The following is a 25,438-nucleotide window of genomic DNA, read 5'->3' as shown; positions in this document are numbered from 1 at the left end:
TCTTGCCCCAGGAAAGAGCTCCGTCATGATGTCGAGCTATCTTAGCCTCACAGAGAGGCCTGAGTGGCCAATCACTCATCCTTTTGAGGTTTGCTTCTTTACAACAGCTCCATCAGTGGCATCAGAGAGCTCCACTCAGCTAGTGAGGTGGAGCTTGACTGGAACTTTGCAATATTGCTGTGTAAATCAGAGCCTGGGCATACTTGAAAGGTTTATTAAAGAGAATTTAATGAAGAGACTATAGAAGTATAGCAGGGTTAATGGACTAATAAACAACCATGCAATACCCAGGGACCGCCAACAGCAAAAGCATTGCCACTCCTATGCTGAAGGGGAAAGAGGAGGAAGTTGTTACTCCAACCCAGCAAGAACTGTGGCCAAGGAAGTGGATGTCTGCCCCTCAGGAGCTGTGGCTATTGATTGAAGATGAGCAGGAGGAATAAATACCCCAAACTCTCTTTCTTTCCTCTTTCTAACTCTGCCAGTGCAGAAATTGGGGAACCCAATTGGAAAGCCAAAAGCAATGGGTCTCTGGATGGGCAGTCATGGACATTAGCTGTATGGGGCTCAAAACTGGGAGGGAGAGAAGGCTGGGGAAGAGATTCAAAGGGGCACATAGAGAATAATAAAGAATGATCACTTTGGAATGTTCCAAATTATCAATTATGCTCTGCAAGGTGACCTGGAATCATAGGGTCTCCTGTGGACTGAATAGTGTCTCCCCTAAAATTCCTATGTTGATGCCCGAACCCCCAAGGTGATTGTATTCAGAGAAGGGACCTGTGGGGAGGTAATTAGGGCTAAATGAGTGGGGAGGTAATTAGAGCTAGATGGGGTCATAATCCAATAGGATTGTGTTCTTAAAGAAGGAGGAGTAGAGGAGAAGAAAGTTCCGTCTGTTTCCCTGAAAGATCAAGGGTCCTTGCACCCCAGAGAAGAAAGACCCTGTGGGAACAGACACAGTAAGAAGGTTGCCATCCACAAGCCAGGAAGAGAGGCCTTATCAGAAATCTGTCATGTTGGCACTTGGAATCCAGGGTTTTCATCTCCAGAACTGTGAGAAAATAAATGTCTGTTTTGAAACCACCCAGTCTGTCATATTTTGTAGCCCAAGCAAACTAATGTAGAATCCTTGGAAGGCAATGCCAATTTATGGCAGAAAGACCATCTATTTTTTTAACTGCACCAATAAGGATGACCTGACAAAAATCGTTCCACTGGGCTTTCTGGGAAACCCAGGTTTCCATTGTATTGGTTATGATAAATCCACAAATTCACAGATGGGTACGAATTTTTTTTATTTTCTATAACTAATATTAATCTATACTTTGATTCCCAATTTTGTCAGGTAATGAAAACTTAGTCCCAGTAAGTTCAAGGACCTTTTTATGTAGAGGCTCATGGTTCAAGAGTGAGCATTTTGTCTTTGGTGTCTTCCTCTATTCCTCCAGGTACCCCCTGCAGCCCCTTCAAGGCAGCCACAGGGCCTTTTGTGTGTGGGCCCTGGCTTCACGCCCCATGTCTGCACTAGGCTTGGACACACAGAATATATCCTTCTGTTCTCGATCTTTCTATGCTATGGGTAACTCTACAAAGGTGCCTCTGGCCCATCTTCTCAGATATACCACATAGTCATTTCATTTTCCTTGATTTCCCCAGTTTGCTAGACTGGTTTCAGGAAGGATCAGGTCTGCGAGGTGTGTCACTGATACTCCCTGATCTCAGAATCTCCAGATCTATCCAGGGGTTTAGTCACCTCCTTTCCAGAGCCTAGACCTCTCTAGTATGAAATTATCTTGGTTTCCTTTTTCATTCCTTGTCTTCTCCCATCTAGAAGAAATACAGAAAACTTGTTTTTTTTTTTTTGTTTTTTTTTTTGTTTTTTTTACATATTCTTCCAAAGTCCAGAATAGTTTCCTATCTTCATTGGGCTATGTCATTCTTCTCCTGGAATTACAGAAAAGGAAAATATGACAAATAGAAAATTTAGGGTGACAGGATGGGGAAGACATTGTCTATTTTAAAATACCATCCTACAATACCACATATAATTCATGATAATAATAATTTCACAAGAAAGCCTGGAAGCCTTAGGAGTCGTTCTCTGAATCTCGCTGGAGCATAATGTGGGGACATAGGGGCTGCTTCACAGAGCTGAGTCCAGGCATGCAGCTCCACCCCAACCTTGCAAGCTGTGCTGCCAGCTTGGCCTCCACCATAGCGGTTCAGCCCTGCCTTCTTATAGGTCATGAGTATAGAGAGCAAGAGCGACTTTATTCATTTTTCCCTGGTGGGAGATGGAATTCTAGGGAAGTGTGGGTTTCAGAAATATGTTTGAACCTCTTCTCTATCTTCATGAGAAAAAAGAATGATGACTGAGTCATGGATACCCAACCTGAGACAACCTAAATACTTCTGAGTTGGAGGACAGAAGGCCAACATGGCATCTGGGAAACAGGTTAAAGCTCTGGGGGAATCATCCAGGAGGTCAGGCTAAATCTGGCAGGCTGGATTTGGGAAGCAGAATTGGGCCAAGAGTTCAGGGCCAGGGCGATGACAAAGAAAATTCCTATCAGGAGGAAAATGTGCTGAATGGAATTCAGTGCTCTGAGCTATCTGCTTTTTAGGTCTACTGGTCAGGGATGGTCTAGAAAACCAATCAAAGATTAGAGAAAGCACAAATGTTATAATCAATGCATATTTTCTTGAAGGTTTTGGTAAGTAGTCCCAGCTCCAGCTAAGCATCTAAGGATGGAGGACCATATTTTGTTCAAAAGAGAGTAATATATTTTATATATTTATGGTATCAATTGTGGGAATAAACAGGCACCACTCTTGTGAGGATGTACATATAATAGGTCTCTCCAGCCTCGGAGGCATTTTATCTCTTGTTTTTATGAGTGATCTGGAAGGGCAAGTTTACAGAGAATTCCCCAAAGTTGTCGATGATATTCAGCATTTCAACATTTCCTCGTTGTAAAATATTAAGCAGACATATATAAATTTTTCAAAGATCTTGTCATCTTTTCACTGGGAGAGATAAGAGGTCATCGGATGAAGGCTGGATGGTTCTTTACCAAGTGATCTCACAGGGAGGCATTCACCTTGGTGAATTTACTGTGCCTATGAGTCCTAAACTTTGTCATTGTCCTGGAGTCAAACTGCATCAAGGGCACTGACTCACAGTAACCAAATTAAAATCAAAGCACATCAGAAGATGCAAAACTTATTGGTACATAATGGAAGATATTTTGATCCAATGAAAGGAATTCTCATTTCTCCTGCTGGGAGACAGCTTCTTCCAGGGGAGGTCAAAATAATAACTCTAAAGTTGCATAGTAAGCGTGGAATCAGAGCAAAGGGAGGTGGAGAGTCTGGGAGATTTTTATCCAGGCCATGTCAGGTGTGATGAATCATTCCTACCCCTTGATACAGAACACCTCTCTAGTAATTTAATTAAGGTTGTCTTACAGATTCAGTGTCTTCTTAGATTGGACAATGCTGGAAAAACACAGCCAATTTTTGTTCTGTTGAGCTGTATTTTTTATGATCCAGACTGTCCCTTTATGCTCATACATTGCAATGCAATCGATGGGGCTTTTGCTTGCTAAATAGTAACCACATTCCTGTCCTGCCTCTCTGAGACCCAGGTCACCTTGGGAGGAATAAGAGGACTATTCAAATCCTTTGGCCACATATTTACAGACAGTCTCTTATTTACTCATCTAGATTTCTAAACATTGCATGTGGATTTTACTAGCTGAATCCTTGGAACCAAATCTTCTTTCTTTTATTTCCAACTTATTAGGGGAAATCTCACCCCTACTCTCCCAACCCCAGGCCCGCAACATAATCTTTTGCTAGAAGGTTATAAAAGGTGTCAGATAACTTTTTGTGTGAGCAAAGGGTTGCATTTTAGCAGGAAAAATGTAATATAGGGTACAGGCAGGGCATTATTTATAATCCATTATAGGCAGACAGTACCCCTTAAAGTTTAGAAGAGGTTTTATTTAAGGACAATTCTTCTTTTTATTTTTTTGAGACAGGACTTCACTTTCTTGTTCAGAATGGAGTGCAGTGGTGTGATCTTGGCTCACTGCAGCCTCGACCTCCCAGACTCAAGCAATCATCCCACCTCATCCTCCTAAGTAGCTGGGACTACAGGCATACTCCACCATGCCTAACTAATTTTGTTTATTTTTTGTAGAGACAAGGTCTTACTATCTTGCCCAGGCTGGTCTCGAACTCCTGGGGTCAAGCGATTCTCCATAAAGTAAAATTATGAAGTCAATTTACCAAATAGGTGATGCAGGTTAAAAATATAATGGGCACACAAAGGTCTATATAAATTCTTGTCAGACCTTTATAGATGATTAAAAAGAGCAATGGTGTTGGAAGGTCATCCGTAGCCTCTGAAGCTATATAAGTGTAGCCAGAGGCTCCCACTGCACAAACCCAGGTGCTATCATTAAAGAGATGACACTGAGCCAGGGGGACTGTGACCCAGAGAGGCAATTTCTGCTTTGTCTCTGCCCCTCATGGGCAGTTGCAGCACATGTATAAAAAAAAGACTCTGAGACTGAGATTTTTGTGCAGATATTTTACTGAAAGTGTAACCCTCAAAAACATCTAAATAAGAAGAGGGAAGCAGGGCAAGGCTAACGGAGAAGTTGACTGTGATACCTTCGCTAGAGACCTCGGAGACCTACGAGGTCTTCCAGAGCTGGGATGGGCTTTTAGGATTGTCTTGTCTTGAGGCAAGGGAGTTGGGCCTTTATTAACCCCTGCCCAAGTGTTGCACAGTAAGCATGGAATCGGCAAAATCAGAGGACTGGGTGAAAGGCTTGTGTCAAGTTCCTTTCCTTGGCTGAAGGCACATCCAAGAGAGAAACTGAGGGGGGATCCTCGAGCTACAAACACTTCCAGCAGCTGGGGAAATGAGCATCTAAGTCTGGGGCAATGCACTAGAGCACCAAACCAGTAGGTACTCCCAGGCCCTGACCATTTAAGTGCATCTGGTCATGCAAGTTAGGGACAAGCCCACTGTTGGGACAGAGATCTTCCTGGTCTGGTGCATTGTTTGCTAAGAGTTGGCAGTGCTGGGTAAAATACCTCATTCCAGGAGCAGAGAGAGTGATCATCTCACTGTGTAGACAATGTTGTCTTCATGCCACCAACCCCAAAATGGAGCCAACATGCAGCACTGGCTGACACATTACTACCCCCACCCACACAAGTGATGTGGATGGCTGCTCAGAGCATGCAAGCAGGGCAGAAAATAGGCTTTTCAGCTGTAACTCTGATCACAGGGTACTATGTTAAAGGGAAGTTTATCATATCCTCACAGAGACGTGAGCATATTGTCTTTGGTGTCTCTTCCTTGGCCCCTTCTGTATAATGGCACCTGATGCCCTCATTGCGGCGTCTCACTCATCTCTTTCCCTCTCTTACCTCTAAACCCATTGTCGGGAAATGACATGAGATTTGTTGGCAGTAAGGTGTAGATGACTCATAATAGTTGTTTCCCTTCTCCATGAGACACTTAGCTTAAGTCTTTTGGCAATCAGCTGTAATGCAATGGAGGCATTGGTCATGTTTTTGGTAGCATAAGTCAGGGGAGAACAGGATTTTCGGAGAATGTGGAAGAGACTGACAGCTGCCTGCCCAATGTTCTCTTTTCCTTTTTGCTAACAGAAACCCAATTTTATTTTGTGTGGTCATGAACTCAGCTAAAAGACTGCACTTCCCAGCCTTTCATGCAGTTATGTGCGGCCAAATTGCTGTGAGTAGCAGTCACTGGAAAGCTCAGAGGAAAAGATTTTAAATCACATGGCTCCTCTGGCAGGTATTACTTCTTGTTCAGCACTCTTCCCCACTTCTCCTTCCTCTTGCTTGGAACACGAATGTCACGGCTGGAGAGTCAGCAAGCATTTTGGATAATGAGGTAGCCTTGAGGACAGTGGAGCAGAAAGGAAGAAGGAGCCTAGTTCCTTGAAATTTCCATAATGACTCTGTCAGAGGCATTTAAACCCGAGCAACTCCATCTTGAATAGGGGCTGGGTAAAAGGAGGCTGAGACCTACTGGGCTGCATTCCCAGACAGTTAAGGCATTCTAAGTCACAGGATGAGATAGAAGGTCAGCACAAGATACAGATCATAATGACCTTGCTGATAAAACAGGTTGCAGTAAGGAAGCCGGCCAAATCCCACCAAAATCAAGATGGCCACAAGAGTGACCTCTGGTCGTCCTCACTGCTACACTCCCACCAGCACCATGACAGTTTACAGATGCCATGGCAACGTCAGGAAGTTACCCTCTATGGTCTAAAAGGGGAGGTATGAATAATCCATCCCTTGTTTAGCATATCATCAAGAAATAACCATAAGAATGGGCAACCAGCAGCCCTCAAGGCTGCTGTGTCCATGGAGTAGCCATTCTTTTATTCCTTTACTTTCTTAATAAGTTTGCTTTCACTTTACTGTATGGACTCGCCCTCAATTCTTTCTTGCATGAGATCCAAGAAACCTCTCTTGGGGTCTGGATTGGGACCCCTTTCCTGTAATAATGCTATTAGTCCTAGCCTGCCTACTTTTTTCATGTGAGAGAGAAATGAACCATTATCCTGTTTAGATCACATATTTGGGGTCTTAGTGATATGCAGCTGAAACAAATCTTAATGAATACAGAAGGTTCTAAAAGTGGGGTGCTAGAGATAATAGAACCCAAAACATCAACCTGGCTGAACAGAGGAGGTGGGGAGGCCGATGTTAAGGATTCAGATATTGTAGCCTGAAAACCTTGCTGCCCCTGTTAAAGCTGTGGTGAAACATTTTGTCACATCTGTCGCCCACTATACCTTGGGGACCAGAGCGTATGCTGACCAAAGTTCAAATACTGGGAAAATGGTAGGAAAATTACAAATTCTGGTGTGTGTTGGCCTCTCCCTGCTGCTCTCTACAGAGTCCTAAAAGAAAGAAAGTGGCCCATACTAGAGCTAGCCACATTAAAAGCACAAATGGAAAGAAATGACAATTTCCTAAGGGAGATGCTCCTGCTTACGATCTGCAGTCTGAGTTGAATAGGAGTCTCATAATTTAAGCCTTGCACAGTTGAAAAGGCCAAATGCATTTGTACCCCAAACTGAAGCCATTATAATTAGTGGTTGTAAAATTGCTGCCTTTACAAGCGACAAAACTGATATCCTCTCATTGGAAGTTGGGAACTCACTGATAAATATGGGATTAAAGGTATTACATTCCCATCCAAGCTCATTGTTTCAGATGAGTCAAGAAAGTGACCATTAATCTGAGAAGGCAAGACATAGCAGAGCACAGAGACCAATAAATAAAAGATGAGACCTTTCCTGTTTAAAAGCTCTCTCTAGCCATTGCCTGTGATTACTCTGCCTATAGCTGAATAGAAGCCAGAAGAGAGGAAGCTTGCTCAAAATTACAAAAACAAGATAATAATTATAATAAACTTAAGCATAACCTATCAGGCTGAGACTTTTCTTTTTTTTTTTCCTTTTTTTTTTTTTTTTTTTTTTTTTTTTGAGATGGAGTCTGGCTCTGTCGCCCAGGTTGGAGTGCAATGGTGCGATCTCGGCTCACTGCAACCTCTGCCTCCCAGGTTCAAGCAATTCTCCTGCCTCAGCCTCCTGAGTAGCTGGGATTATAGGTGCCCACCACCACACCCAGCTAATTTTTGTATTTTTAGTAGAGATGGGGTTTCAATATTTTGGTCTTGAACTCCTGACCTCAGGTGATCCACCAGCCTTGGCCTCCCAAAGTGCTGGGATTACAGGAATGAGCCACCATGCCTAAGCAAGCAGCTGAGACTTTTCTACCATCAAGGCAATCTCTGGGACCCAAAACTGTACCAGAAGTAAGTGGACTATGAGAGGTACGCAGCTCCCCAAAGAGTGCTCTTCAGTCCCTCCTTCAGGTGCAGTCAAGGACTTCTAGTGTTCAGGGCCAGGGCAACAGAGAATAAAGGACAAGGAGGGGAGTTCTTTCCAGAGGGCAGAACCAAGGCTGCCTGATAACCTAAATCATCAAACACACCCATGAAATCCCCCACTGCCTGACTAATAATCTTTGCTATTATTACCCAAAAGAATTTAATAATTATAATAGATTAGTGTTTCCCATTCTCCATTTTCCAGATGAAAGGTTTTGTTTACTTGTGAAAACAAAATTGCAATTATTCCATTTCTTTTCCCTCATGGTGCTTTGGTTTTTGTGAAGAAGATAACTTGCTTTTGAACTTAGGTGTCACTGAACCGCAAGAAGAAACATCCAGATTTGTTGGAGATAACTGCACACCATCTAGATATCCTGAACTTTGAGCTGGGTACAGCCATTGGATAAGAATGTGGAACTGACTCTTGAGGGAGGTGGTGACTACATTTTACTAGGTTGGTGCAAAAGCATTGAAAGTAATGGTAAAAACCGCAATTTTACCATTAAAAGTAATGGTAAAAACTGCAATTCCTTTGCTTTTGCACCAACCTCATATGTAGTTTTCATAGGTGGAGAGTAAACAGGCAGGCTGTGTCACAAAGAGTTGTGGCTGGTGACACACACCATACTCTAGTACTTTGAGAGGCAGGAGGATTGTGTGAGCCCAGGAGCTTGAAACCAGCCTGAGGAACATAGTAAGACTCCGTCTCTACCAAAAGAAAAAAAAACAAAATTAGCCGGGCATAGTGGTGTGCGCCTGTAGTCCCAGCTACTCGGGAGGGTGAAGTGGGAGGATCCCTAGAGCCGGAGAGTTTAAGGCTACAGTGAGCCATCATTGTGCCATTGCACTACAGCCTAGGTAACAGAGCCAAACCCTGTTTACAAAAAAAAAAAAAAGAGAGAGAGAGAGAACAGTTTGCTGCTCACTAATATACATTCTCCCCTTCTTTTTTTCTAACAGAACTTGAATGTTCCTATTTAAGACAATGTCCCTGCATTTTTTGTTTTGTTTTGTTTTTTAGAGGCTATTTTTAACAAGTTCCCTTACAGCTAGGGGCGGCTAATGGAATCCAGCTGGTGGTCATGGGAGTCTTCCAGGAAAGCTCATTAAAGACAGGTGATTCCTCTGGGAGGGGTGATCTTTTGCATTTTTTCTTTTTCCTTCTTCCTACCAAAAATGTGGAGATGATGGTTGGAGCTCTGCCAGTCAACTTGGACCTCAAATCAGCCTTGAGTATGAAGCCCAGTTCTGAGATGGTGAAGCAGGAAGATAGAAGGAGACTGGGTCTCTCCTAACCATACCCACATATTAGTCTTCAATTAATGAAGTTAGTATTTTCTTTTAGGAGAGACAAAAATAAATATGTTTTATGGAAACCATGTTCCTTTTCTGTTACATACAGATTAACCTAATCCTAGCTTATACCAGTATTGAGTGGAGCTTCATACTCCAGAAGTAATTGCTTCTTTATGTTGTTATGTTACCCATCCATAGGGCGGACCTAGGTAAAGTCACAGGATGGAAGCCCTGCCCTGAACTGGTCCTCTGCTCTGAGAGTGAATATTCTAAAAGCCCATGTTGAGAAGAAACTAGGAAACAAGTTACACGGTGCATGACCTCTGAAACAAAGCAGGCTGTGGATGGGCCCTCTAGGCCTACCGGGCAACAGAAGTATTTAGAGGCTGAATCCAAGCACACAAGAGATGGACAGACATAGGAGGGTTTGTGCTTGAACTAGCTTGCTTGAAATTGAAAGAGCCTGGTGGCTTGATCCCCTAACTCTTTATTTTATCAAAAACACGGTTTCAGTTTCACTGACCTAGAGGTATAATTTCCATGGTCTAACACAGAGAAAATTAGGGGGTTTTTCCAGTTTGGATTATGACCACATGAGAATAGGAACTCTGATTTCATTTTTTTCCAAGGTGCTGGGATCCCACAATTGACAGAGGCTATATTAGTTTTCCATTGTTGTTGTAACAAATTGCCATAAATTCTGTGGTTTAAATAACACTAAGTTACTCTCTTACAGTCCTGAAGGTCAGAAATCCTAAGATGAATCACTAGGACTCTGTTCCTTCTGGGGATTCTACGGCAGAACCTGTTTCCATGCCTTTTCTAGCTTCTAAAGGCTTCCTGCATTCCTTGGCTTGTGGCCCCATTCACCATCTTCAAAATCAGCAGTGCAGCATGGCATCTTCCCCTCTCTCTGTGTGTCCCTCTGCTTCCATCCTCACACTGTTTTCTGTCTAAGCCTAATTCTACAACCTCCTTCTCTAAGAATCTTTGTGACTATATTGGGCCTACTTGAATAACCTAACATAGTCTCTCCATCACAAAAGCCTTACTTACAACAAAAAGTCCCTTTCTTCATATAAGCTGACATCTTCACAGGTTTCAGAGATCAGGATGTGGACATCTTTGGGAGGTCATTTGTCACACAAATACCAAGGTCAACTCAATATCCTCATGGCTGTACTTATTGGCCTGTTTCCCAGGTCCCTAAATAGTTCCCTCTGCAAGCTTACAATATTGTCTGAATTTTTTTTACCATTAAAGCCTTTGTCAAAAGACCTCTATTAAAATAAATATACTACATGCTGTGTTAATGTATAGAGCTGTAAGTTGCTCTTCAGATTCCCTGTCAACCTGCAACAATCTTAGAGAAGAGGAGAAATTGGCTCTGGGCTTATTAAATTTTATTAAGGGACAAGTTGATATGAAAAGTTGTACTGCCAGCATGAGTCTGCACAGAGTCCAGCTGTAGAGGCCCTAAGCAGGATGGAGCTATCAGAGATCACTTCCTAACAGTGAGTTGTGGAGGTGCATAAAGGCAGAGCTCAGGAAGAGAAAGAGGGTATCAGGCAGAAGTATGAAAGCGGAACCTTCCTCTTTCAAGAGTGTTTAGGGATAGTACCATTGCTAACAGCTAACATTAATTGAGCTTTTATTATATGTCAAGGTGGCACAGTTAAATTATTGGTCCTCATTCTTTATATTCCCATTCAAATTCATGTTCTTGGCTATGCAATTTTGCAGTTCCTCCCATAAAGATAGAATATAGTTCCCTGATGTTTTATTTTTGGGCTCATCCACATGACTTGTTTGGCCAACACATTGTTACCAGATGAGAAAGAAATAGAGGACTGATGATTGTGCTTTCTTGTTCAGGATTGTTCTGTTTGCCACAGGAATATAAGGATATTCCTGCCTAGCCCACTGCCCCAAGGAGGGTGAGAGAAATATGGAGTGCACCCAATGCAATCTGCAGCTTAGAGTTGCCCCAGCTGATTGCAGACAGATGAAAAGGAATTGTTTGCTATTGCATGTGACTGAGAATTTTGGAATTATTTAGGTAAAGTTGCTTATTTTTGAGCCAGTCAGAGACAGTTCTAAGGGTTTTACATGCATTAATTAATCTAAACCACACCTTGATCTTATAAAGTGTTTTAGTCTCCCTGTTTTGCAAACAAGGAAACTAAGGCATTCATCTATTAAGGAACTTTCTCGAAGTCATGCAACTAGTAAGTGCCGGAAATGCAATTTGAATCAGTCGAATGTCCACTTAGGTCCTGACTACAAGATTTTACTGGAGCCATAGCCACAGGCATAAGGTTTCTTTCTTTCTCTGCTCTCCTCTTTGTGACCCATTTTTAATTTGTCCTAAAATGTTGGGGTTTTAAATCTTTTTCTAAGTATGTAAGATGAGAAATCCACTGGGTTAAAAGCCTGGCAACCCAGGTTCTGATCCCACTGTCGATAAGAAATGAAAGATTGCCCAAATAAAAACAAATATTTTCTTTGTTGATCCATTACCCACATTTTCAAGGCCTGATCTGATGAACAATATCCTGGAAAAACAAGGACATGTGCCTAGAAGCCAACCACGATGTCACTAAGACTGCTAGATGATGCCCAGTTGTAGGACTAGCCATCTTTGATAATTTTATAAATGGTACCTTTTTTCTTTGCTTCGAGTTCCTGAGAAAGAGTGTTTTATTATTTTTGGAAACTTGTGGAAGTTGAGTTCTCAGGAGGATAATAGAGGCCTACGAGGTAAATGGTCACCTACATGCAGAAAGAACCCCAAATGTGAAACTGAACATAGGTGCTGAAGAGTAGGATTTGCATGGGGCAAAAACTTGACAGAGACTGGAAGAGCCAAGAGCATTCCTGTTTCTAGATTTAAAAAAGTAGGGGCCAATAAACTGAGTACCAAAAATAAAATATTTAGGACTTATCAATTAGGGACAGTGAGGCTGAGGATATCATAAGAATATTTTTTAATTTTTTTTTTTTTTTTTTTTGAGACGGAGTCTCGCTCTGTCGCCCAGGCTGGAGTGCAGTGGCGCAATCTCGGCTCACTGCAAGCTCCGCCTCCCGGGTTCACGCCATTCTCCTGCCTCAGCCTCCCGAGTAGCTGGGACTACAGGCGCCCGCCACCGCGCCCGGCTAATTTTTTGTATTTTTAGTAGAGACGGGGTTTCACCTTGTTAGCCAGGATGGTCTCGATCCCCTGACCTCATGATCCACCCGCCTCGGCCTCCCAAAGTGCTGGGATTACAGGCGTGAGCCACCGCGCCTGGCCTATTTTTTAATTTTTTGTGACATGTGACTCCTACTATTTTTTGTTTGGTAGTGATTGGTAGTAAAAATCATGAAAAACAAGCGGTAATGTTATTGTGGGAAGTATCAAGAAAGTGGAGAACGAGGAAGACTATTTCTACTGCTCAATCTTGGGTGATGATGATGATGATGACAGTAATGATGACATCAATCAGCATTTATTGAAAACTTATTGTGTTAAGCTCTTTATAGAATGATCCAATTTAATTTTACAATGCAACCCTGTACAAGAGATACTAACATTATGTCTCTTTATACAGATGCAGGGTTTCAGACCTAGAGAGATTAAATTATTCTCCGAAGTCACAGAGGTAGTCAATGATGGAAGGAGTGTTCAAATATAGAAAGTGTGATTTATTGATTCTTAACAAACCAACAAATAGAGAAACAGTTGAAACAGAGGAAGTGGCCATCATTTGGAAAAGGAAAGCACAGATGGAAGATTCCCCTGGAATTTCTATATTGGATGCAGGGGTACACATGTTGCTGACACATGAGGAAACCTCTGATGTAGGTGAAAAGGGGTAGCATGGTAAGCCCTTGGCAGCCACATCTTGACTGGCTCAAGATGAGTATATGAGGAGCCTTGGTCTTCCGTGGCCCCTGCCATATTTATCCAGCCTACCCCACAGAAAGTCTACCCTCTCTCTGACTGACACATGGCCCCTTTGCTTTTCAGAATGAACCTTCATCTGGGGCTAGGGCTGGCCATGGCAGACATAACAGGTGAGGGAAGCATTCTTCAAAGTCCAGGAACTGGAGCAGGGAGCTCTTCCCAAGACAGTGGGGGGGGTACCAGAGCTGCAGTAGCAAATTAACCAGAAGTGGCATAGAAAGACAGTCCTAAGGGAAAAGAGGTGAGCATAAAAGCCAAATCTTTGGAATTAGAAAATTAAGGCCAAGCAAAGGAGATTAGAGGCAAACTGGATAGGCAGATTGAGTAGTTGTGTTGAAGGTAGCTTGGTATTTGATGCTGGCTTTTTGGGCCTGCAGGGCATTATGCGTGAATGAATTGGTCCCACATAAAGGGGCAGGTGTAGGGTGGCCTTGCTAGAACTAGGGCCAATGCTTAAGCTCTACTTAGTTTGATGGGAGTCTAAACATGGTATTCAGGGCTTGTCAATCCCTCCCTCAGGAAACCTGGTCCTTAAACAACTAGCTGCTAGCTGGAATCCAGCCCCCCAAATGCGCTGGTCATCAGAAACCACCATACAGTCATTTTGTCTGATCATGAGAGTCTCCTATAGTTTACATTTCTGCTGGAGACTCTTTTAATGAATACTGTCAGTACATAAGCCCCAGACACCAGCACAAGTCCACGTGACACCTGGCTCTTCCCATCACTCACACATTGCCTAGGCCCAGTTATCTTGTCACATCAGTCCTGCTTGGCTCTATTTCTGTCACCTTCAGTCATAGGCATGTCCTATGAGCAGAAGGAAATTTTCCCAGGATGACAGACACTTCTTTAAGGGGAAATGAAGTTGACAGAATTCACTGCTGCCCAAGGTACCATTTTTTGCCTTTTCTCTCTCAAATTACTTTTTCACCCTTTCCTACTCTGGCTTGTATTATTAGAAGCTGACTCATGAAAACTAAATTTTCCAGCCTTTCTGAATCTGTTGAGTGCAGCAAATGGGAGTTATTGGTAGGAGGCCTGGGGATAAATGGAAGGAAGTAGCCAGGGAATTTCTCTCCTCTCCTCCCTCTGCTTTGGGCTGCATCTCTGGAAGTGACTTTGATTCCTCTATGGTTCCAGCTACCTTTGGACAATCTCTCTCCATGGTCTCAGCTCCTACAGGCAACCCCAGATATAGGCCCAGCTTCTACTGAGTAGCTCCTAAGCTCTGGTAACACCATGTCCTTCCTGGGTTTCTCCAGCCCTAGAAGTGGTAACAGTCTCCTGCTATTGCTAAATCTCTGAGTTGCCTCACAATCCCTTCCTTGAAATTTCAACTCCTCCAATATTTTTATAACTGTCTCCCCATATTAAAGCTGGCTGGAAAGTGCCTGACACACCAAAAGGCAAATTCAATGGAATTGCTGATTTCACCCCAGGCTTGGTCCTGATGCTGCAGCTGGGTGGCCAGGGAGCTGAATGGGGTAATGAGAGGCTCCCAAGGTAACAGTCACTAACTTCTACAGATTGCCTGGGGTTCCTTACTGCCCTGGAGACCAGACCTACCCTGACCAGAATTTCCCAAGAGGAGGCCAGTCTGAGTCACCTTCCTTTTGTATAAGTGGTCTAGAAAGGCCTTGTTTTCAGGATTTTTTTTGTTAAGATGCAAATGCTGTCATAAAATATCTTCATCACAATAAAAATGCAAAGTACAAAGTTGCCGTTCCGCACCACATCACAGAGGGATGCAGAGACATTATTCAAATGTGCACAGGACAATTGCTGCACATGCACTCGCAGGCTGACGGGGACTTAAAAATAACACTTTCCATTAAAAGAAAGAAAAAAAAAAACCCTTTGGTCGCAAAATAAGTGACTGTTCTCTTTGTCCCTTTTTTCTACAGACAGCAGCCCCCTCACCAGACTCTCTGCAGAGTTACAGTTTTCCAGGAAATGTTAGGGACCAGCAGGACACAGTTAAAAGGGGGACCCAGGGCAAGGGAAAGAAGCCAGGGGCAGGAGAGCTTAGGACCACCTCCATCCTCCCACTGCCTGCTGTCTCCCCATCCCCCTGCACAATCTACCTGCCATTGCTGTGGGGCATTACCTGGGATTGCTGGCTTTCTGAAGAAATGTAGCAGTATTGGAAAGGGAGATTAACCAGAATACTTTGCAAGAATTTCAAGTTGTCAATAATTAGTGTTGTTTTTTAATTTACCCATTTATATTACAGATGAGGAACTCAGACCCAGAAGAACCAAGTGACTTGCCAAAAGTCCTTCGGCTGTTTCAGCAAGAGCAAGAACTAGGGTTCCCAGTGCAGTTTTCTTTACACTCCAATTTAGTAGAAGCATGAGCCACATGGGGACATTTTGGCTCCTGATAGACCACAGACAAAACAGTGGTCCCCTAAGATTATAATGGAACTTCCCTATATAGGTGTACTAATTTTTACCTTTTACACCGTATTTTTACTGTATCTTTATTTATTTAGTTAGTTAGTTAGTTAGTTTTTGAGACAGATTTTTGCTCTTATTGCCCAGGCTGGAGTGCAATGGCGTGATCTCGGCTCACTGCAACCTCTGCCTCCCAGGTTCAAGCGATTCTCCTGCTTCAGCCTCCCGAGTAGCTGGGTTTACAGGCACCCACCACCACACCCAGCTAATTTTTTGTATTTTCAGTAGAGACGGGTTTTCACCATGTTGGCCAGGCTTGTCTCAAACCCCTGACCTCAGGTGATCCACCCACCCAGCCTCCCAAAGTGCTGGGACTACAGGCATGAGCCACCGTGCATGGCCTACTGTATCTTTTATATGTTTAGATATATCTAGATGCAAAAATACCAATGTGTTACAATTGCCTGCGGTATTCAGTACAGTACATGCCGTACAGGTTTGTTGCCTAAGAGCAGTAGGCTACACCATATAGCCTAGGACTGCAATGGGCTGCTGCATCCAGGCTTAAGTAAGTACACTCCGTGATGTTTGCACAATGACAAAATGGCCTAACAACACATTTCTCAGAAGGTATCCCCTTCTTTAAGTAACACATGACTACACAGTGTTCAGTCAAAGAAAGGGCAGATCTAATAACTTGAATTTAAAATCTTCATCCCCAAGCCAGCCTCATAAGAAGGCTGCCACTCAGGAGCTGATGTGGTGGGGTGAACAGAGAATCAGATACACATTGAGGAATCCTAATGCCAGTCCATTCTGGCTAGTGGTAGATGATGCAATGGGGGTAAGTCATAAAACCTCTCTGAATGTCATTTTCCTCAGCAGAAAATTGCTGTAAAGTCACCCACCACAACCGCTTCATAGGGTGTTATGCTGCTACAACAGGTCAATATGTAGAAAAATGTGGAAATTATGATGTTTGCAGATGTTAGGGAAAAGTAGGGATCCGTACACTGTTTCTGAGGGGCCAGATAATAAAATGTTAGGTTTTCAGGCCAAATACAGTCTCTATTGCAGCTGTGCAAGCCTGTTGTTGTAGCACAAAAGTAGCAAAAGACAATCCCTAAATGAACGAATGTGGCTGTTTCAATAAAACTTTATGGATAAAACAGGCAGCAGATTAAATGTAGCCTGTGGGCCATAGGTTGCTCACCCCTGGGATAAAGCCACTCACTTTGCTTAGTGCTTGTTCACTGGAAAAGCCTCCCTGCCTCCTCTACCATCTCCCTTCCCTAAACTCAGGGCTGATGACTCAGCCCAAGCCTTATTTTTGGCGCATCAGCTTTTTAAAGCAAAACACAGCTCACTGGAGGGGTTTAAGACACATAGTCATCTGCACCAGTAGGAAAAAAAAGCTAAAAGCACATTTATAGCCACAGTCACAGCCGTCCTTCTCCATGGATATGTTCAAGTCTGCATTTAGACACACAGCTGCAGACATAAAGTAATATAGAAAAAGGAACGGAGCTGTGGATTTCATTGAGGCTGAAACAGAGGACTAGATAGAGGTATAAAAAACAACATTTTTACTTCCAAGCCCTAACTTTTGAAAGCACATTCACATTTATTTTCACTTATCGTGATGAGATGATGAGGGAGTTTTGACAGATTTGAGAGGAAGCAGGTACCTTACCTGCTGTCAGGAATCCGGCTGGTGGCAGAGCCCAGGCTCAAACAAGCCCAGGTGCTCATCTTTATGAACCCATCTGAGCACTCTTTTCTCAGCCCAAGAACAGGCACAGCCCTGAGCCCTGGGCTTGGCCACAGTGTGGCCTTTTGCAGTGGTTATGCTCCTTACCGACTCCTTGCCACAGTATCATAAAGTCAGTCTTCTTTGAGGATATCACATTATCCTCCCCTTGATTAAAATGATGTCTGTTCCCTCAAAACAAAGAGTATTTTCAGCCAGGTGCTGTGGCTCATGCCTGTAATCCCAGCACTTTGGGAGGCTGAGGCGGGCAGATCACTTAAGGCCAGGAGTTGGAGACCAACCTGGCCAACATGGCAAAATCCTGTCTCTACTAAAAATACAAAATAATTAGCCAGGTGCAGTGGTGCACACCTGTAGTCCCAGCTACTCAGGAGGCTGATTCAGGAGAATCGCTTGAACCTTGGAGGCAGAGGTTACAGTGAGCCAAGATCAAACCACTGCACTCCAGCCTGGGTGAGAGAGAAAGACACTGTCTCAAATAATAATAATAATAATAATTTCGAAAACAGAAAACCCAGTATGTTCAATACTCTGGGATCAGTGAAAGACTACATCAAGTAATCTTCAAAAAGTGCTGAAATTGGACAGTGCTGGCTTGATCATTTCTTGGACTGTGGATAGGTTAATCATCTCTGAGTGAGCTAGAATTCAAGACGTTCCTCAGGCAAAAAGCAGGACGTTAGATGAGTCTTTGATGCCATTGAAATCTATGGTAGCAAAGGATCACCAGCCTTGAAACAGAAGAGGACAGCATCTGCAGCAGGCTTTGGCAGAAGAAACACAGCCTGAATGCTGACCGTATCTTAGAAGAGTGAAGAAGTTTTGCGGTGGGGTTGGTGCGACTAAGCCAAGAACCTGTTGAAGATGTCATAGGTCACCACACAGAGCACCGGAAATGCCGATTGCACTTTGAGGGCTGAACCACACAACCCACCTGTGGGAAAAGAAATTGCTTGGAAGGCAAGTGCAGGATGGTCTCGGACCCAGGTAAAAAGCACGGGGCCACCTAAAACTGAGGTCTTGCCACAGGCAGCCAGATGTTGAGGGACCACCTTGGCAGTCAAACAAAAGTAAAGATCGGAAAGGTTCTCAAAAGCGCCAAGACGTGCAGCTGCAATGCTAACATAACATCCACTCTATAGTAAGCTATATCCAGCTGATACCAGCCTGAGTCGAAGTCTGAACTGGGAAGTATGGAAAAGGGAGGACAGGCTGAGCCCAATTTCGATTAGCCTGTGGAAAATACACATTTGTGGGAATAAACTGAATTTGAATACAAAGTTTGTCAAGCATTATTTGTCCTTGGAATTTCTCATGATTATAATTCTCTCAGTATTTGCTACTTTACTTAAAACCTGTGGTTTGCATGGATTTAATCCCTGCTTAGAGCAGCCAGAATTTTTTGATTTGACAGCTGAAATCACTTTTCTTTAGGGACATTGTAATATATTATGATTCTTGAAGAATATTACTGTTTAGGAACGCGTGGGCTAAAATAGATCTTTATGACTTGTGCAAGCCCTCGTAATATTGTTTCTCTGAGAAGTTGCTCTGAACAACTGATTTATAAATGGCTACTGTCTTAGAGGTATATTTTTCAGTTTGGGACTGCTGGTTTATGCAGAGAGCAGTGTGTGTGGGGGTGTGTGTGTGTGGGTGTGTGTGTGTGTGTGTGTGTGTGTGTATTCAGTGTCTCCTAAACCCCCCGACTGTCCGGTAAAATGAACACCCACTCTTTGTAAAGCTTGATCCTCAAGTCTTTGTTTTTGTTTTTTTAAAAAAAGCCCTCATATGAATCTATTTACTTATGCCCACGCCCTATCAAATGAGAAGTTGTTTAGCAGAAGCAAATGTACCCAGCAGCACCTTCTACTCTCAGCCCATTGTGTCCCCTGAAAAAATCTGCCCATGGGCTTGATCTCTATTGTGTGGAGTAAACAGAATCACTGAAGCTATATTTCTCTTCTATTCTAAACAGCAGCAGAAAGGAATGGGGGAGAAGAGGGCCCATGCAGTTATTGCCCGATCGTACTCACAATCAGGGGCTTGGAAGCCCCCACAGGGAAGTGAGTGGAGGCCTTCAGTGCACATCCGCACAGCAACACCCTCCCACCTCAGTCAGGTTGATTTGAGCAACCACCCATCAGCTCAACGGCTCTCAATTCAGTGGGTCTGAAACAAAGTTCTGACCAGCAGGTTTTATCCCCACTCCATCTCATAATTGAGAATCTCTGCTTCCAGGAGGCAAAGGGAAGCAGGGGGAGGAAAGCATGTCCTCAGAAACACGAATAAACAAAGAAAGAGAAAAGAAAGGAAGAAAAAGGCAGTTCAGCTTCTCTCTTCTAACGATGAGTCCCACAGGAAGATAGATGCCGGGAATTAAAGTCCTCCTCCCTGCCCTCTGGGTCTCAGTCTAGATGTGCAGAATCACTTTTGCCAGGTTCTGCTATATCTCTAGGTCAATCAGGGCTTCTGGGGAGAAATTATTTTTCCAAACAGGACTCTACAGAATATTAAAATATACAAACACTGGGCATGCTGGAAGGTTTTACTTCCTATATTAAGGGCCTGCGGTAAAGTAGCGTGATTTGTAAAGGTATCCCAGCTCAGAAAGGGGCTAAGAGAAATTGGTGGATCGATCCCTGGGGCAAAATCAAGTGATGTAAGCTGATTTGCTGAGAGATAGGATGATTCTGTATGTTCAAGAGGCCAAAGCTTGGAAGAGAGCCTGAAAGATCAAGATCACCCATCCACAGAGTTCACGATATCTGTGGTGTAATAGAAAGTATATGGAACTTGAAGTGACAACCCATGCACGTGAGTCCCCACTGCGCCACTGGTACATAATATTAACAGTTACATGACCTCGGAAAGACTTTCATACTTTCTGAAGCTCAATTTCTTCACTCACCTATACCTTGGAGATCATAACACTATGAAGATAACACAAGTTAGCTTCGAAGTGTTTTACGATAATTGAATGAGAAAATGCATGAAAAACTGAAAACTGCAAAGTGCAATGCAAATAAAAAGTTTGTATACATTTTGACACTGTTTTTAATGGACTTAAGCAAGCCAGGTGTTAGTAAGGCACTGATTTCCAGTCTTGAAAAATGAATTCTGAATAAGGTTGTTATTAAAACTTGGCTATTATAGGTAGTTGTTATACAGATAAATATATATATATACATATATATATATATATATATACACATATATATATATATATACATATATATATATATATATATATATATATATATATTATTGTGGTCGATTCCTTTTAGTTAGTTACATTCCATAGTGTTGCTTTTTGGATACTTAGCCTACAAATTGGCAAATACACTATTGTTCTAATTTAATTAGATTTGGAACAATATTTTTAGCACAGAATGACTTTCTAATTTGTCAATTTACATTTGGGTTTTTAAAATTGGTATGGGTGAGTAATAATAATCTTTCATAGTTATATAGCATTTCAGAGATTACCAAAGACTCTCACATTTAACTCACCTTATTCTCTCAAAAACTCTGGGAAGCATCATTTCACAGATGCTAAAGATAAGACACAGAGAGGATGTGACTCTCCCAAAGTTACAAAGTAAGTGACCGGAACCCATAACAGCCAGGCCCCTTTCCATTGCATAACAGTACCTGTCCCTAATCCCAGGGCCCTCATACCACAACCCTAACCTTCCCCCACACTGGAAAGCACTAGAGGCTATTCAGGGCCAGCGCTATAACTGATGGTTTTGTGACCTCATAAATTTGCTGAATCACTACCATTCAGGCACCTGGAATTCTAGATCTGTCTGGATAAATATTTACTTCCCAGGGCAGTTTCTCAACATCAAGCTCTCTGGAACAGAAAGGCATTTTTTGAAATGTGATTCTGCAACACTTTCCCTGGGGTCAAAATCATCCTGAACCTGGTTACAGATAACTTATTTTCCTCTTGGTGGGTTGTATAGTCCAGTCATAGAGGTAAGAGAGAGAACAACCAACATTGCGGCCGCTTTGTCTTTTACCACCTAACCTTGGAAAGGACACATCATTATTTCTGTTGCGTTCCACTGGTGTCACAGAACAACCTTGGTACACCTTGGGAGGGAATCATAAGAGGGTATGACAACCAGGAGTCAAGAATGACAGGAGCATTCTTATTTTATTTATTTATTTATGTTTTTGAGACAGAGTCTCGTTCAGTCACCTAGGCTGGAGTGCAGTGGCAAGATCTTGGCACACTACAACCTCCATCTCCTGGGTTCTAGTGATTCTCCTGCCTCAGCCTCCCAAGTAGCTGGGATTACAGGTGTGTGCCACCACCACGCCTGGCTAATTTTTGTATTTTATTAGAGACAGGGTTTCATCATGTTGGCTAGGCTGGACTCAAACTCCTGACCTCAGGTGATCCGCTTGCCTCAGCCTCCCAGAGTGCTGGGATTACAGGCGTGAGCCACCATGCCCAGGTGATGGGGGCATTCTTAGTGGCTGGCTTCCACACATCGGGGGGGTGGAGTAACAGTAACTTCTCAGATGTTACTCAGGTCATGTATTAGTCCTTTTTCACGCTCCTTACAAAGACATACCTGGAACTGGGTAATTTATATAGAGGAAAAGGTTTAATGGACTTACAGTTTCATGTGGCTAGGGAGGCCTCACAATCATGGAAGAAGGTGAAAGGCACATCTCACATGGTGGCAGGCAAGAGAGAAAGAGAAACAAGAGAAAGGGTTTTCCCCTTATAAGACCATCAGATCTCATGAGACTTATTCACTACCACAAGAACAGTAGTTGGAGGAAATCACCCCCATTATTCAATTATCTCCCACTGGGTCCCTCCCACAACACGTGGGAATTATGGGGAGCTACAATTCAAGATGAGATTTAGGTGAGGACACAGCCAAACTATATCAGGACACAACAGGGGAGATGCCACTGGGGGAGAAATGATGGTTTCGTCCAGATCCCAAGAAATCAGCAAGCATTGCAGCTCTCCTCCTTCTGCTATAGCTAGGAGGAATCAGAGAAAAGTTCTGCAAAGAAGACCCCACATGCCCACAGGGAACAGTGAAATCATTTACCACATGTCTAAGGCAGCAGTGTTATAAACCTGAGAAGCAGAGGCCCCCGACAATCTGACAGTCTTGGTGAGAGATTATAGCCACAGATGGTGTGGGGACCGCTCTTGCTGGAGGCTGGAAACAGAGCTGCTATTGTGAAGTTGCAAACTGGCTGATTTGGTCATATACAACTCACAGGTTCTTTCTGGTAGATAACAGTAGTCACCAAAATGTTTGAGTTGGGTGAGGAGTAGCTATAGCTCTGCAGTCTTGCTACAAGATTATAATGAAAACAAGTCTCAGACTGAAATCTTTCCCATGTTTGGACATTTACTAAATAAACATTTGTTAGCTAATAGGCATAAAACAATCGTTATATCTAGGTCATTCAACCAATCCTGTGTAAAATTCTCATTTAATGCAGATAGAAAACAATATTCTAAAGACAGAATTCTTTTATCATGAGAATAAGTATTACATAACAGTGTCTTCTGACTAATAGCTGGACACTATACTGTGCAATATCTGGCCATTTAGAAATCAAACTCCAAGTGTTATCCCTTACAGGAAAGTTGCAAAGCTGATTAGATGTTCATGCAAAAGTGAGAAGACCCTCTGCAATATTCTAGTCATGACATGCAGTTTGAATACCACTAATCTCAACTATGAGAACCCATATTTAATATTCATCATGCTAATTCCTAAAGCCTCTGATGTTGGCAGGAGATAAAGATAGCTAAAGCACTTATATTATTCACGTACTAATATGACTTCATATTTATAAAGCATTTAGCCCAGTGCCTGTCATAAAGTAAACACTACGTGTTTGTTCAGCTTAAATTAAAAAAAAAAGAAAAAGAAAAAAGGAGCTACCTCTAGAGTAGGCCAGCCTGCAATGCTAACAGTGGGAATTCCAGAATAAGGCGACTGACTGCCCTACGATAGAGTGTTAAATAACACACAAATAAGATCACACTGTTCTGGCTGATGTGATTTTAAGTGAATTACAGAATCCAGGGAGGTGCTAGTAGTCTAAACAAGATAACCAAAGATCAGATGTGATTTAGAAGTGACGAGCTGCATCTCAGCAAATGCTAAGACAGGATGAGGATAGATACAGACCTGGCTCCTGAGAAGTCTCCCTGAAAGTCTGCAGAAAAGAACGAGCCTGACAAGATAAAGACTGCTGGAAAGTAACTAAATTAAGTTCTCCGCTCCAATAGCTTTAGGAAAAACTGCAATAATTGCTCTCCACACAAACCTCTTTCTTAAGTGTTTTCAGATTCTAAAATGTTACCAGTCATCACCTTAGTGGTGTGCTCCCCTTTATGCTCTGTATCCCACAGCTCAAGTACATCCAGATCTAAAGGCCATGTGCTTCACCAGCTTTTAATTTCCATGCCGTCACCCCAAATCTTGTGTTATAACTCCTCTAGTTGCCGTGAGCCGCGATTGCACCATTGAACTCCATCCTGGGCAACAAGAGCGAAACTCAATAAAATAAAATAAAATATAACCCCTCTACTGAGTTTTAGAAGTGACTATTTACATCCTTCATGCCCTTGAAACATGCTCCCCAAATAAATCCTCTTTGCCCCCTATCTCTATGGTAATCACAAGTCTCTCCCCCCCAGTGACAGCAGCTGTGTCTAAACCACCCATCTGCTGTCTTTCTGGTGCTCTGCCATATTCTGCCTCATGCCCACTTATGAGTGTATCACATTTCTATTTAGAAACATTCTGCCTACCCTGGTTATTTTTGGCTACTTATCAGTGTGTATCTCATTAGCAGTCAATGGAACTGCTGAACTGCCGCCGCGCCCCTAACATGCCATCATCTGTAGCTGGGCCAGTATGGGTAAAAGTTGCAAAACAGAGAGGGTAAGTGAAAAGTCTCTGGTGGCTGACGCATTGCCCTATGGGAATGGGGTGGTGGGGTGGTGGGGTGGTGGTGAGGTGTCAGGGCAAAGGGAGGAGATACGAAGTGTGAGTATGGGGAGCTGTGGTTACTTGTCAACAGAATGGAGACTCACAGAGGATTATATACACCAAGCCAATTTTTAAAAATTGACGTAAAATTCACATAACATAAAATTGACCATTTTTAAGAGGACAATTTTAGTATACTCACAATGCTGTGCAGCCAGCCATCATCCCTATCTAGTTGCAAAACATTGCATCAACACCCCACCAAAAATCCCATACTTATTAAGCAGTCAGTTCCCATTTCTTCCTCCCTCTACCACTAAGCAACCACTGCTCTGCATTCTGTTTCTATGGATTTACCTATTCTATACATTTCATATAGATGACATCATACAATATGTGGTTTTCTGTGTTTGGTTTCCTTCACTGAGCATAGTATTTTCAAAGTTCATCCATGTTATAGCATGTACCAGAACTTTACTCTTTTTTATGGCCGAATAATATTCTGTTATATACCACATTTTGTTTACTTATGTATCTGTTGATGAACATTTGGGTTGTTTTTACCTTTGGCTATTGTGAACTCTGCTGCTAGGAGTATTCCTGTAAAAATATTTGCTTGAGTACCTGTTTTCAATTCTTTTGAGCATATACCAAGTGTGGATAAATTAGCAACAATGAGGAGGGAGCCCCAAGGTAGGGAAGAACAATTGTTCTGAGAGACAACTAACCACGAACAACTCTCTGGCACAACATCCTGTTCCCAAATAACTCTCTCAGAAACTAGCCCCAGCAGCATGACCTTATCTGCATGTAGCCTCTCTAACACAACCCTGTAAAACTTCCCTCAAGCCCCTGCCTCTTGGCCAACAGCCCCTTCTCTGCTGTGCTGCCCCTTGCACTCTCACAACATATTTTGTGCTTTCTCTAATAAACCTGCCTTTCTTTACCCATGACTGTCTTGGTAAGTTCTTTTACCTCCCATGATGCCAGCTCCAGCCAGTCACACCTGGGACACCAAGGACTGGAATTGTTGGGTCATATGGTAATTCTATGTTTAAGTTTTTGAGGGAC

General features: G+C 42.8%; 1 long non-coding RNA gene across 1 annotated transcript; it reads right to left on the bottom strand.

Moving 5' to 3' along the window:
• Positions 1–1,410: 1,410 nt before the first annotated feature.
• Positions 1,411–24,677, bottom strand: LOC105379388 (uncharacterized). Its single transcript, XR_949701.2, has 3 exons — positions 24,570–24,677; positions 5,452–5,567; positions 1,411–1,947 (listed from the first exon to the last, which is right to left on the bottom strand). It is a non-coding gene; the product is annotated as an uncharacterized LOC105379388 (long non-coding RNA).
• Between the last annotated feature and the right edge of the window lie 761 nt (positions 24,678–25,438).

This window comes from Homo sapiens, chromosome 8 (genome assembly GCF_000001405.40).
Source record: "Homo sapiens chromosome 8, GRCh38.p14 Primary Assembly".
NCBI classification, from domain to species: domain Eukaryota; kingdom Metazoa; phylum Chordata; class Mammalia; order Primates; family Hominidae; genus Homo; species Homo sapiens.
The sequence above is the reverse complement of the archived record's forward strand: the minus strand, read 5'-3'. Positions and strand labels throughout refer to the sequence as shown.